The sequence below is a fragment of the Homo sapiens genome, chromosome 1 (genome assembly GCF_000001405.40).
Source record: "Homo sapiens chromosome 1, GRCh38.p14 Primary Assembly".
Lineage (NCBI taxonomy): Eukaryota > Metazoa > Chordata > Mammalia > Primates > Hominidae > Homo > Homo sapiens.
This window is the reverse complement of record NC_000001.11, coordinates 193,960,758-193,974,441: the sequence shown is the minus strand read 5'-3', so window position 1 is coordinate 193,974,441 and position 13,684 is coordinate 193,960,758. Positions and strand designations below refer to the sequence as shown.

The 13,684-nt window shown below is 35.8% G+C and overlaps 1 long non-coding RNA gene across 1 annotated transcript in view, besides 1 other annotated feature; it reads right to left on the bottom strand.

Moving 5' to 3' along the window:
• LOC124904475 (uncharacterized) overlaps positions 1-13,684 on the bottom strand; it is a 765,263-nt gene that overhangs the window by 245,106 nt on the left and 506,473 nt on the right. The window lies entirely within an intron of this gene.
• Positions 8,384-8,553: an enhancer, noted in NCBI's record as "experimental_1503 CRE fragment used in MPRA reporter constructs". NCBI's record gives its function as "activates a minimal promoter by MPRAs in K562 erythroleukemia cells, with activity observed for both the introgressed and non-introgressed 1:193935104 variant alleles {active_cell/tissue: K562}" and the evidence as "EXISTENCE:reporter gene assay evidence [ECO:0000049][PMID:34662402]".

The following is a 13,684-nucleotide window of genomic DNA, read 5'->3' as shown; positions in this document are numbered from 1 at the left end:
AAGATTGGACAAGGAGTTAGAGATGAATGGAGATACATCGTAACGGAATGTGAGGAAGCAGAGATGGCAAAAACAAACAACTCTTTTCACAAAATGTGGGGAATAGCAGCACAGGCAACAGGCAACCCTATTTTACAGAAAACAAAACCAAAAAAAAAAAAAAAAAGAAAACAAAAAATTAGCCAGCCATGTTGATGCATGCCTGTAGTCCCAGCTACTCCGGAGGCTGAAGCAGGATTGATTGAATCCATGAGTTTGAGGCTGTAGTGAATTATGATCATGTCACTGAACTCCAGCCTGGGCAATAGAGCAAGACCCTGCCTGTATCAAAAAAAGGTGATTAATATATGAAGTCAGGATCTATTGTTAAGAACATGAGTTTTAAATTGATGGATACTGGAGCATATATGGACTCTGAGGACAATTTATTTGAGAGGAGAAAAAGATGATTCAAGAGAAAGTGGAAATAATTGCAATAATTGAGGTCTTTGAAAGGAAAAAAGGAGATTTGGTTAGAATAAATAAGGATATTTTGGCCTTTGATAAGATAGGGACACTTTAAGACCATGGAAGAAGATGGACTCAGGTTCTTACAGATATACAGATTTAGTGATCGCAAAGGAAAAGCTTTTAAAGATGAGAGGTTCTATTTTACCAATAAAATAAAGGAAATTTCATCAGCTGAAATCACAGAAACATAAAGAATACAAAGTTTGATGAGTTATAAAAGAACATGATTTGGTAGGAAAGTAAATTTATTTAAAAAATTTAGTCCTGTTTCAAAGCGGATGATTCTGCATTTATAATGACGTCAACATGAGTGGATGTTTTGTTTCTCTTCAACAATATTCAGCAACAACAGCACAAGCATAGTGATGGTGAAGGTTTGGGTTCCTGCAGGGCTGCTGATTGCAGAGGAGAATGGGAAAACATTTGGGAATATTTGCAAAGGAATAATTACTGGTAGTAATAAGAGGGAATAACCATCACAAATCATGGAAACTAAGAAAAGAAGAGCAAAGAGAAAGGAGTAGTAGAGTGAAAATGATAGTATCAGTAAATTCAAGATGTCCACAAGAGTGCTCAAATGATTTTAATTGTCCAATATCTCCAAAGAGGGCCTGAGGTTGGACTGAAGAATGCAAAAGGAAAAACAAATGGACCAAAATTGTAGCTGTTATAATTTGTTTTGAAGCTCATTACATACACCCAGTGAAAATGCCTAAATAATAGGGGGTGCACTGTATAGAAGAATTTTGCACTTTCATTCTCAGAACCTACAGATAGCAAGTAAGAACAAGAGCCATAGAAATACAGTAACAGTTGACTCTTGAACAACACAGGGAATGGACTGCTAATACCCTGCACAATAAAAAATCCTTGTATAAATTTTGACCCCCCCCCAAAAAAAAAAGTAATTACTAATAGGTCACTCTTGACCAGATGTCTTACCGATAACATAGCATTTTATTAACACACATGTTGTATGTTATATGTATTATATACTGTATTCTCACAATAAACTACAAAAAAAAAAGGTATTAAGAAAATTATAAGGGGGCAGGGCACGGTGGCTCACGCCTGTAATCCCAGCACTTTGGGAGGGCGAGGCGGGCGGATCGTGAGGTCAGGAGTTCGAGACCAACCTAGCCTACATGGTGAAAACCCGTCTCTACTAAAAATACAAAAATTAGCCGGGCATGGTGTCAGATGCCTGTAATCCCAGCTACTCCGGAGGCTCAGGCAGGAGAATGGCATGAACCTGGGAGGCGGAGCTTGCAGTGAGCCGAGATCGCGCCACTACACTCCAGCCTGGGCAAAAGAGCAAAACTCCATCTCAAAAAAAAAAAAAAAAAAAAAGAAGAAAAGAAAAAAGAAAGAAAATCATAAGGAGGAGAAAATATATTTGCTATTTATTTAGTGGAAGTGAATCATCAGCAAGGTCTTCATATTGAGTAGGCTGAGAAGGAGGAGGGAGATGAGGAGTTGATCTTCCTGTCTCATGGGTGGCAGAGGTAGAAGAAAATCCACATATTAGTAGATCTGCATTGTGTCGTTCAAGGGTCAACTGCATTACTATAATTTGATTACATTTTAAATTTATCTAAAATTATAAATACTTATACATGAGCCCTCATGGTCATGTTGAGATTATTACAAATGTAGTAAGTGGTCAGCTGACCTCTTATATTAGCACTCATAACCTTGATAAATTTACCATATTATGATGTCAGTTCTTTACCTTTTAACATAAGATATCCTTACTTGTTAACATACCCAGAGAAGATCCATTAACTAAATTCATACAACATAAATATGAAATCAGTAAAAAATAAAAAATTAAAATTATTACAAAAGTACTAGAATACTAATAAAGCATTCCCTCAAAGGAACATTGACATTGGCTAGTATATTTTTAAGGGCTTTTATAATTATACAATTAGGGCAAGTGTAAACTGGTATTAATAAAATGAATAGTTATCAGCACTTTAGATAACTCATGGCATCCATCTCAAAATAGAAATGCTCTTGACAAAAGGAATTAAAACATTGAGTCATTCACTGACTTGAATTCCCTGAACGTAGGTAACTATCCGATCTTCAGTTAACTGCGCAGCTATCCCCTGATTCATCACAACAAGTGATTAATCACTTGTGGAGTATTCAAAAGGGCAATTCTTCCTGTTATTTTTTTGTGCATCCACTTAGCAACCAAATACTGACAATAATTCCTGCCCATTCTTTTTGTGGAAAAGTAAATACACATCATGGGAGCCTCTGACAACCATAAGTTTTTTTTATGGCTCAACTAAGGAAATATTGGTCAAAATATGGTTATAGAAGAGGGGGGATGAATAAAGTGGAGGGGAAAGCAGAGAAGAGTGGCTCATACTTAAAATACATTGAATCACTAATGTATTCTATTTCAAAAACCATAAGTAAATAGATGAACATGAAAAAACTCTATTTCTGGGTCATTTGGAAAATAGAAATATGTTAATTTATTGTGATTCCATGAAATGAAAGGAGTTTTGTTTATTGTTACTCTCTTATATTAACTGTAAGATTTATTTACCTTTTACTTATTTTTACCACCAGAAATGAATCAAAAGTAGTTTACTAAGACAAATACCACTTATCTGATACTAAAGAACTAAAAGGAGCAGGAAAGGAAATATGCAAGGAAACACATAAGGAAAACATCAGAAAGGGTAAATGTTGGTCATCTGAGTGCCTCTTACATCACAGTGAAGGCAAAGCGAACATAGGTAACAAAAATACTCCAGATAGATAGATAGATAGATAGATAGATAGATAGATAGATAGATAGATAAACAGATGCATTCCTTCTTCTCCTCCACTTGCATTACAAATTCATGTCAATTTATTCCCAGAGGTTTTATTAAACTCATGCAATTTAGGGGAGTACTCTAGTTGTTTAAATATCGCCGTGAATCTAAAATCAGTGGGCCAAAGTCCCGTGGTGATACATCTGATCAGAGTGAAAATCAGGTGTTTCTGAAGTTTGTGGAAATACTACCCCCACCAGCCTCACGGAGTTTTATTCCCTCTTTTCTCCTGAATATCCCTGAGCTTTGGCTACATAACTCATCCTATTCCTCTTTCTCACCAAAAACCCATAATAGCTTCAGGATATTCATGCTACATGACAACCAAAGGTCAGTTTCCCGGATCTGCCCTCAGCTAGGGTGAGTTTCAGATCTGCCTCAGATACTTCCACCTAAATTTAGCTAAACATATAGACTTCTGAAAAAGCACATTTAGTTGGAAGACAGATGGTGTCAATTATTTTATAGCATTCTTGAAGAATTCTAAAAGTGGGTCAGTGTATTTCAATTTTAATCATGTATACAAAGTCTAAGGGGGAAATGGATTACAAGAAAAAAAAATTTGATGAATGATGTATGGGTACCTATGCAAAAATATCACTCTTTAAAATGCATTATAAAAGAAAAATATGTATTATGTATAAAATTAGGTTCTAGAAAGAAATATGGGAAAAATAAGTCAAAGAATAAAATCACATCTTACCTTATTCAATATTACCAATGAAACTTTGGAATTAATAAAATAGTAGCAATGCACTAAATGAAAGCCTTTTACAAACAGAAATTCTATACAATTTGAAAAAAGCCTAAGGTGATATTTGAAGCTGTGATCAGAAACAAAAGTTTTGATAGATCAAAGCAGCATCTTCTATTTCATGTATCTCTGCAGAACAATTGAGGATCCTATTATTAACCATCTGCTAGATTGTGGCTTTTATTTTAAATGAAGCTAAAACAAATAGGACATACCATCCCATGACTGTCTTTGAGCCATCATATGCAGAAGAGTTTGTTTTCATTGACATGATAGCTTTTTGTCATAGAGTCTTAGTGAAGGAGGCTCTCAAATAAGCTGTTAAATTATGTTATATGATCAGACAAGGTAATGACTCAACTAGAAAATCTCTCATTAGATAAGGTTATGATAGTGTGAGGTTATGATAGCTGTGAATAAGATGAGTGCCAATTAAAATGTCCAAAAGGCTAAAACTAAGAGCTTCTCTTTCACAGTAATAAGTTACAAAATGTTTTCTAATTTAAAACAAAATTGGAAAAACTAAGGGTTAAGCATTTAAACTTTGAAAACTAGGCCCATTCTGTCATAACTGGGACATGAACTACTTAGCAGGAGATTATTTGTACTTTTTGGAAATGCCAGCTGTTTTTTTCAGTGACAACCTTTATGGAATTTTCCATGAAAACTGCTTCTTTAATCAAAATATTTTTAACTAATAACGCACTACTTGCCTCAGGGGATAGGGGAAAGAAAAAACTAACAGAAGAAGAAATTCATCATGTGCATTTTATTAATAGACTGTTCAGAGAAATAATTAAATACATACAATAGAAAAATCCTTTAAACAAAAATATATAACCACATTTATTTAAATAACCAGTTTTTGTTGTTGTTATTCTTGTTTTGTTTTATGGGGTTTTTTTTTTGTTTGTTTGTTTTTAAGACAGGGTCTTGCTCTGTCACCTAGGCGGGAGTACAATGCTGTGATCATAGCTCACTGTAACCTCAAACTCCTGGTCTCAAGCCATCCTCCCTGAGCCTCCCAAGTAGCTAGGATTACAGATGCTCACCACCATGCCTGGCTAATTTTTGTTTTCTGGTAGAGATGGGGTCCTGCTTTATTGCCCAGGCTGGTTCCCAAAGTAATTGTTAATCTGATATTATCTTGCCCTCTGCACTTTAAAATCAGGGAGAGCTGTTTTTGAAGTTTTACTGTATTCCATAAACCTTCACAATAGGTCTAAAGAGATGAAGCATCCTCAACTTTAAAAAATAATTTTTTGCAGGTATCTCTCTATTCTAATTAATAAGGTAAATGCCTGGGATAAAAATTGATTCTTAACTTCTAGTTTAATTGGTAAATGACAGTTGAGAAAGAATATAAAAGTGACTTTTTTTCTTGTTCCACTTTTATTTGAGAATCAGAGGGTACACGTTCAGTATTGTTAAAAGGTGTATTGCATGATGCTGAGGTTAAGTGTATGCATGAATCCATCACCCTGGTATTGAGCATGTACCCAATAGGTAGTTTTCAGCTCCTGTGCCTGTCCCTCTGTGCCCCTCCTCCAGTAAGTAGTCCTTCAGTGTCTATTGTTCCCATCTTCATATCCATGAGTACCCAATGTTTAGCTCCCACTCATGAGTTAAAACATGCCATATTTGGTTTGCTGTTACTGCATTAATTCACTTAATGGCCTCCAGCTGCTTCCATGTTGCTGCAAAGGACATGATTTTGTTCTTTTTTATGGCTATGTAGTATCCTATTATGTATAAATACCACATTTTCTTTATCCAATCCATTGTCGATGAGCATTTGAGTTGATTCCATGTTTTTGCTATTGTTTTGAATAGTGCTAATAGTGCTGTAATGAACATACAGGTACATGTGTTCTTTTGGTAGAATGATTTATCTCCCTTTGGTATATACCCAGTAATGGGATTGCTGGGTCGAATGGCAGTTCAACCCATGGGTCTTTAAGAAATCTCCAAACTGCTCTCCACATTGGCTGGATTAATTTACATTCAAACCAATAGTGCACATGTGTCCCCTTTTCTCTGCAGCCTCACCAACATTGTTATTTTTTGACTTTTTAACAAAAGCCATATACTGACTTGTGTGAGATGGTATTTCATTGTGGTTTTAATTTGCATTTCACTGATGAATTGTGATGATGAGCATCTTTTCTCGTGTTTCTTAGCTGCTTTTATGTCTTCTTTTAAGAAGTGTCTGCTTGTGTCCTTTATCCACTTTTTTTTTTTTTTTGAGATGGAGTCTTGTTCTGTTGCCCAGGCTAGAATGCAGTGCGTGATCTCAGTTCACTGCAACCTCTGCCTCCTGGGTTCAAGCAATTCTCTTGCCTCAGCCTCCCAAGTAGCTGGAATTACAGGTGCCCGCCACCATGCCTGGCTAATTTTTGTATTTTTAGTAGAGACGGGGTTTCACCATCTTGGCCAGGGTGGTCTCGAACTCCTGACCTCGTGATCTATCCTCCTCAGCTTCCCAAGTGTTGGGATTACAGGCATGAGCCACCACGCATGGCCTGTCCACTTTTTAATGGGGCTATTTGGTTTTGCTTATTGAATTAAGTTCCTTATAGATTCTGGATATTAGACCTTTGTCAGATGCATAGTTTGTGAATATTTTCTCCCACTCTGTAAGCTGCCTGTTTACTTCCTTGATAGCTTCTCTTGATGTGTAGAAGCTGTTTAATTTAATTAGGTCCCAAGTGAGGTAGTCACTTGGCTGCATGAAGAAAGGAGGGTGCTGGGGATTCAAGGTTTCCTTTTCAGACTCTCTAGCAGTCACCTGCCTCCCCTCCTTCGTGCTTTCTGCAGTGCCTGGTATCTCTAAGCACAGAGTACCTTGAGAACTATGCAGGAACAGCTTCCCCACTTGTTAGATCCTCATGTCCGATCTCTGACAATAAAAACATGTATGATTTTGCTTCCTTCACATACTACTCCTCCACTCTCTTGGAATATATTGTTGATTTGTTTTAAACTCCTTTGCCATGCTCCCTGTTAGTTTTTATCCCTGTTGGTGAATGTCATTTTTTTTAAATCATTTTCATTTTAGTGTGGTTTTTATAAGACAAAAAATACACACATGATCAATTACAAAGTTTAATGCTCTGTCTCTTAAATAGATGTGTATCTTTAAAACTATAGATATATAATTACACGTGGACTAGAATAAAAGCTCCATGAAGATTTTCAATGTTCTGGCCTCTTTTTTATTATTTACAACAGGGCTTGATCAATAATTACTATGGCAAAAAAATACACACATACACACACAAATATTTACAAAATCAAAGTCATAATTTCTATGTAAAATATTTTTATACTATAGTTCTAGACCATTATTGCTGAAATTTTATTGATATTTAATCTTTTCTTAAATTTCCACTGAAACATATCTTTATAATGTTTTATTGAATGGGAACTCTATGAATATAGTCCATATTATCACTAAAAGCAAACCCGCATTCCATAGAAGGATTTATAAGTAACTGATAAAGTGTACGTGTATGTATATATAGCCTCTGATTTAAATGGAAAAAAGCTTCCCCTTGTTTGTTCTTAGCAGTTTAGGTCAATTTCTCTGCAGATACATAAAATCAGTCCTAGAGACAGAAAATCTGCACTCTCCTGGAATCAAAAGCAGACATTATCTTGTGTTGTATAGTATATCCACACTCTGCAGCAGAAAACCACCATGTCATTTAGAAAGGGCTTTCATACTCTTTGATATCATGCACCGCGGTCTATTACATAAAACAAGCATAACATGAAGTTCAATAGGGAAAACTGGAAAGAACATCGTTTTCCTTCCTTTAAGTGTCTTAACATCTTCCATCTTTGTTTAAGAGATTACCAAATTCTGAAAACACTGTATTTATTAACATCTTCAAATTTTTAACTTACTGGAGATACAGTATTCTTTCAGTATTCTTTTCCTCTAATTTATAGCTTTCTCTTTCTTTGATCCTTAATTCTGTCTTCTTGATTACATATTCATGCTTTTGTATATAACGCTTACTTTCTGCTTTTGTATATAACGCTTACTTTCCTGAAGGTTTATTACTCTGTTTTTTTAAAAGTACCATTTGAATAAAGTTGGAGTAATTTGAAACTATCAGGATAGAACAGGGGAGAGAGAGATCAAGGGGAGAGGAGACAGAAGCATTTAGAAAGGTTGAATTCTGTTGGGGAAGAATGGAGGAAAAATATAACAGAATATGGGATTAATTCCAGTGCTTCTTATATTGTACCATGTAGTCATCTACTACGAGGAACAAATAATTAAGTGGAAAACCGCATCTCTCTCATGCTCTTTCACTTTTCTAACATCACCATCACACATATATACATTCTCCCCCTCAGAGTTGTGTGTGTGTGTATGTGTGTTGCACAAAGGTGTCGATCATGAACTATTTAGTCATAAAGCTTTTACACAAAAGAATTTCGAGCACTTATTAGTTATTATGAGAGATTAGAGAAATAATACTGTAAATCTTAGTACTGCATTCAGTGAAGACACTGATACTTGCTGTTCAGGTTGTTGTCACAGTATTTTAAAAATATCATATATTTAGTTGTTAGTTTGGCATTGAGCCTGGTAAACACTTGGCCACGGCAGAACAGCTAGCTGTTCACCAACATACAGTTCTCTCCTTCCTTAGATTAGAGCAAGACCACAACTGCTAGCTGCCCTTGAAAACAGAACAACGAAATGGAATTCTTGCGAACAGATTGTGAGCAGAAGTGATGTCCACCATTGCTAGTTCTGGCCAATAAATATTTATATGCATCATAATTTCTGCTCTTTCTCCTTCAGCTGGTGATGAAGCTTGATTTTGCAAGCCTATGTTAAGTATGGCATAGATTCCATCAGCCTAGATTCCTGGACAACTATGTGTGGCAAACATCCCTCTTCTTACCCTGTCCAAGACACTTTTAATGTTTCCCTTGCCTATGCTAAACTTTAGAAAGTGTTCTTCCTGACTATAGGTCCCTGACTTTCTTCCATTTAGGACATTTACCTTGAAAAACTTGCAATTCTACATTTTCTCGATCCCTTTGAAATGTATGTAAACCTTCCCAGCTTCCTGCCAGTTTTATGACCTAAAAATTGTCTTTTCCAAGGATGTGGGAATCATCTCCTTGAATATAAAGACGGAAAGAGACAGCACTTCTATCTCCCAGTCTCTGTGGGAGTGTAGGATCCTAACTTCCTGGGCAGCCAATTAGCAAACACAGATGGCCTAATCAGAGAAGAACATTTTCAAACTCAGGAATAACTCAGTACGCTCAACATATCCCATTAACCAACCTTCCTACTAACAATCTCCAGCAGTTTTTCAGTAGCTTACCCTAGCATTTAAAAACCCCTCCTGCCATTTGTTCTAGAAGAGTTAAGTTCAGTCTCTCTCTAACCCATTGCAATAGTTTTGAATAGTCTTCCTTGTGTGTTTAACTTTGTCTCATGCAATTTTTACTTTGGCACCTCCAACCAACTAGTTTTGATTATTATATGAGATACAATATCTATCATGTTTGAGTTATTCTAAACTTTTGGAGCAAATATGTTGTACAGATATTGGAAACTTGAATTGGGATGCTGCAATAACCAAAACCTGAATGCATAAGCATAGCTGTTGACAGAGTTGGGAAGTGACAAGTCACGATCTACAAGAAAATAGATTCAGCAGGTTGGAAAGTTAGAGAGCACTGATGTACTGTGTCAAAACATTAGGTAAAACTCTGATAACTCTGAATGCAGAAAAATTACATACTTTGGGAGGTAATTAAAAAGATCAAGAGTGTTACTTGTTTTGTTTACTTCCTGCTTCTTGTATCTAGGTATTGCAACAAAGAAATGTTTTCAGGGTAGAGTTCCTGGTTTGATAAGAGAGATGCAAGTAAATACAGTCCAGAAATTGGGGAAATTTAGGAGGTGAATAATTAAATGTTTCTGTAGTCCAAGAATAGGAAATAAGACTTAAAAAGCATTTAGACGAGAAAAATCCCTCTGATTTTGTATTTTATCAGAAGAACGCACCCCTGAGGCACAGCCTATTATTCAAATAACCTAAATGATCATTTAGGTGAGGGAAAAAAAGATGAAAAATAAAGGAAAGAAAGAAAAAGAAAGAAGAAAAGAAAGAAGGAAGAAAAGAGGGGGAGAGAGAAATAAACAAGTTTATTGTTTCTAAGCCACAGAATATAATTGGAGTCCAGTTAGCAGATATTATATACCAACATTGGTTAAATCATATGGGCATGTTGATAAGTGCCATCAGAAAAAATTTTTATGTTCATAAATGCTGTTGGTACTAGAGAAGTGTTCTGAGCTTTTGATCCAAATTCTTGGCCTAGTTCTGGTAATTGTCTCCATTGGTAATTCATTTAATTGTCTTTGCCTCAATTTCTACATTTAGAATGAATGTTGAAATTGATCACTTAATCTCCTTTTATGTGATTTCTGTGCTTCCAAATATAGGCTGCTAATGACTACAAGAAATATGACTAAGGAACAGGACTCAAATCTTATGGCCAATTATTTTAATCCAGTTCATTTTAAAATTAAAGAACCTCTGCTCCCTGGCAGGCCACTTCAGACAGTTGAGAAAGCATTCCAGCTCACACAGTATGTTGAGCTCTTCATGGAGCTAAGGAAATAAGAAATACACAAGCATGAAGGCATCTAAATTGAAAGGCATATACTCTACTATTAAAAAATCTTTAGAATGTTTTTAAAGCAGAATGGTGTAGCAAAATATTTTTTCCTCTGTAGAAGAGCCAATGAGAACAATACTACTTCTTTGATCATTATAGCATAATATTTGTGTACAGACCTTTGTAATTGATTGGAATAGTACTAAATTTCAAAGAGCAGCCATCTAGTTCTTACAGAGTTGAGTGGCCTAGATATTAATAAGGATATACATACTAATGATGACGAACCAGCTGTCCATGGAAAAGCTGATTTAGAGAGTATTCAGTTTTATCATTTTGACAGCTCGCATGGGAAAACATACCATATTCCGTTCCCTTTCCTTGTGCTAGAGTCAAATTAGAATTTCATTTAAAGATAAGGAGCCAATATCATAGCATTTTACATTCTTATCTTTATGACCTACTTATTTTTAATACTTGCTGTTAAGAGATGGGCATTCTTCGATGTCAGATGGAAGTGGTTTTATTTCTCTCTATATTTTCTGTTTTAGTGATTTTTTGAAATAAAGATTTCTTCCCTCTCTCTAACATGCTTTCTCTAATGCATTTTAGATCATCTTGATTCTTTTTATTTTCCATTTAAAAATTTTTTGAGGGGGATTTCTTTTGATATTTTCTGATTTCTCATTTAGTATGACTTCATTCTATTTAAACTCTCATTTAATACTGTGTGCTTCATTTCCAATTAGTGGTAGATAATTAATTTCTAATTAGAAATAGATAACAGTAATATATGCCTCCATGGGTAATATTTTAAATGACCATAATAACGTTTTGATGAGAAGAACTATTATTAATCCAACTTTTTAATGTTCTCTTTGACTGACAACTGAACTAAAAAGGATGGAAATTAGCAGACTACATTAGGACACTGAGATCAGAAGAAAACAGAAATAAGTCGAGTTGACATTTCATACATCAATTTTCCTTGGAAATTGCTATTATATCAACACTAATGTTACTTGTAACAACAGCTAGGTAAAACGGTGAATTTTATGCTATTAATAACTTCCAATTTCTGAGTTCTTTCAATCATCCACTCTTTCTACAGGGAACAAGGCGTTTGAGTTGCCCAAGAGCTTATACTCCTTGCTTAAGGAAATATATTCCCACCCCAATCTGTTCTGCAAAGCATTCATGGATCTACACTACATGTGGTACAGATACAAGGCTTACCAGAGCAAAGCTTACAAGCAGAGAAAGAGTGAAATATGTGTGATCCCCTAAACTCTCATTACTCTACAGCAAGCCTGGGCACAGATGGTCTGTAAACACCATGGCCAACAATCCCAAAGAGAAAGATCCCAAACCAGTAATGCTCGATGTATTTAGAGGAACAGGTGTGCATGGTAGGGAGAGAGGTAGTCGAACTTTCATACTACAAAGTAGCAATAAGAAATGGCATTGTTCACAAGGTAGAGCCAGCCAGGGAAACCAATAGCTGAAATTGGCCTAGGTTTTGTTGAGCTACCTCGTCAAGTTGAACCCATTCTTGGCTCACTCAGCAAAATGGGTAGGAATATAGCTTCAGAGCCATCTAGATTGCTTTTTCAAATCCTCATGAAAATTTTCCTACCTTGTCTCCTGTTTCTCAGGGTCCTAATCTCTGATAAAGAAGTCCCAAGCCAATTATTGCTGTGCATTAAAACACTGTGAGTTGGCCAGGCACAGTAGCTCATGCCTGTAATCCCAGCACGTTGGGAGGCCGAGGTGGGTGGATAGCTTGAGGCCAGGAATTTGAGACCAGCCTGGCCAACATGGTGAAACCCTATCTCTACTAAAAATACAAAAATTAGCCGGGCACGGTAGTACATGCCTGTAGTCCCAACTACTAGGGAGGCTGAGGCACAAGAATTGTTTGAACCCAGGAGGTGGAGGTTGCAGTAAGCTGAGATTTCACCACTGCACTCCAGCCTGGGCAACAGCGCAAAACTCTGTCTCAGAAAAACAACAACAACAACAACAAAAATCCCTGTGAGATTGTCACCTTGTGCCAATAATGTATTAATCGTAGTCATAATCATAATCATAAGCCTCATAACAATAATAAAATAACTGAATCTTTACTATGTTACCAGACACTATGCTAATAAGCATTTTATACGATCAAATTATCCAACTTAATCTGTACAAAATCCTGAGAGGAATACTATTATCAGTTACAAACTATATGGATATTAAGAGGGTATATTAGTTAATTAAAATTGAATTTTAAGATAAGGAATTTAAACACTTTGGCATGCCAGAATGGAAAGACATCTGCATAGGATATACCCCTTTTTTATTTTACCCAGATTATACCAACTCTGATTATTTTTTACAACTGTGAAGAGACACAGATCAGCTAGCTTCCCAGAAATATGCTAAAATATCTGTAGGTAAAGGTATGAAGAACAAATTTCTGTGTTCTGAAGATTAAGCAGAGAGATGGCAGCTCTCGTAAATTAACCACAGCCGATTTAAGCAGATATCCACTGTAGGGAAAGCACAAAACAATACAAAATAAGCATTCCCTTCTTCAATTTTCAGCAGATCTGTCTTCTGAAAATACATAATTCATGTATCTATCAGGTCACTTTCTTGTCAGCATCACAAAGGGAAGCGAGGAGGAAGTACCATTTTCATACTAATCAGTCAAAGAATATTTACATTGCAGCCTACTGCTGTTTTTTAAATGTGCACACTCGCTGCAAAAGCCTAAATGTCTTATGAGTTATTAAAGCATCAAGACTGAATTGGAACATTGGCATTTTAAAGAGTAGACAGTAAAAAAAAAATTACCATTTAATTCCCTTTACCCTTTTCTCTCTACCATTAGTTCTCCATTTAACAACCCGAGGTCTCTCTAATAGGCCTT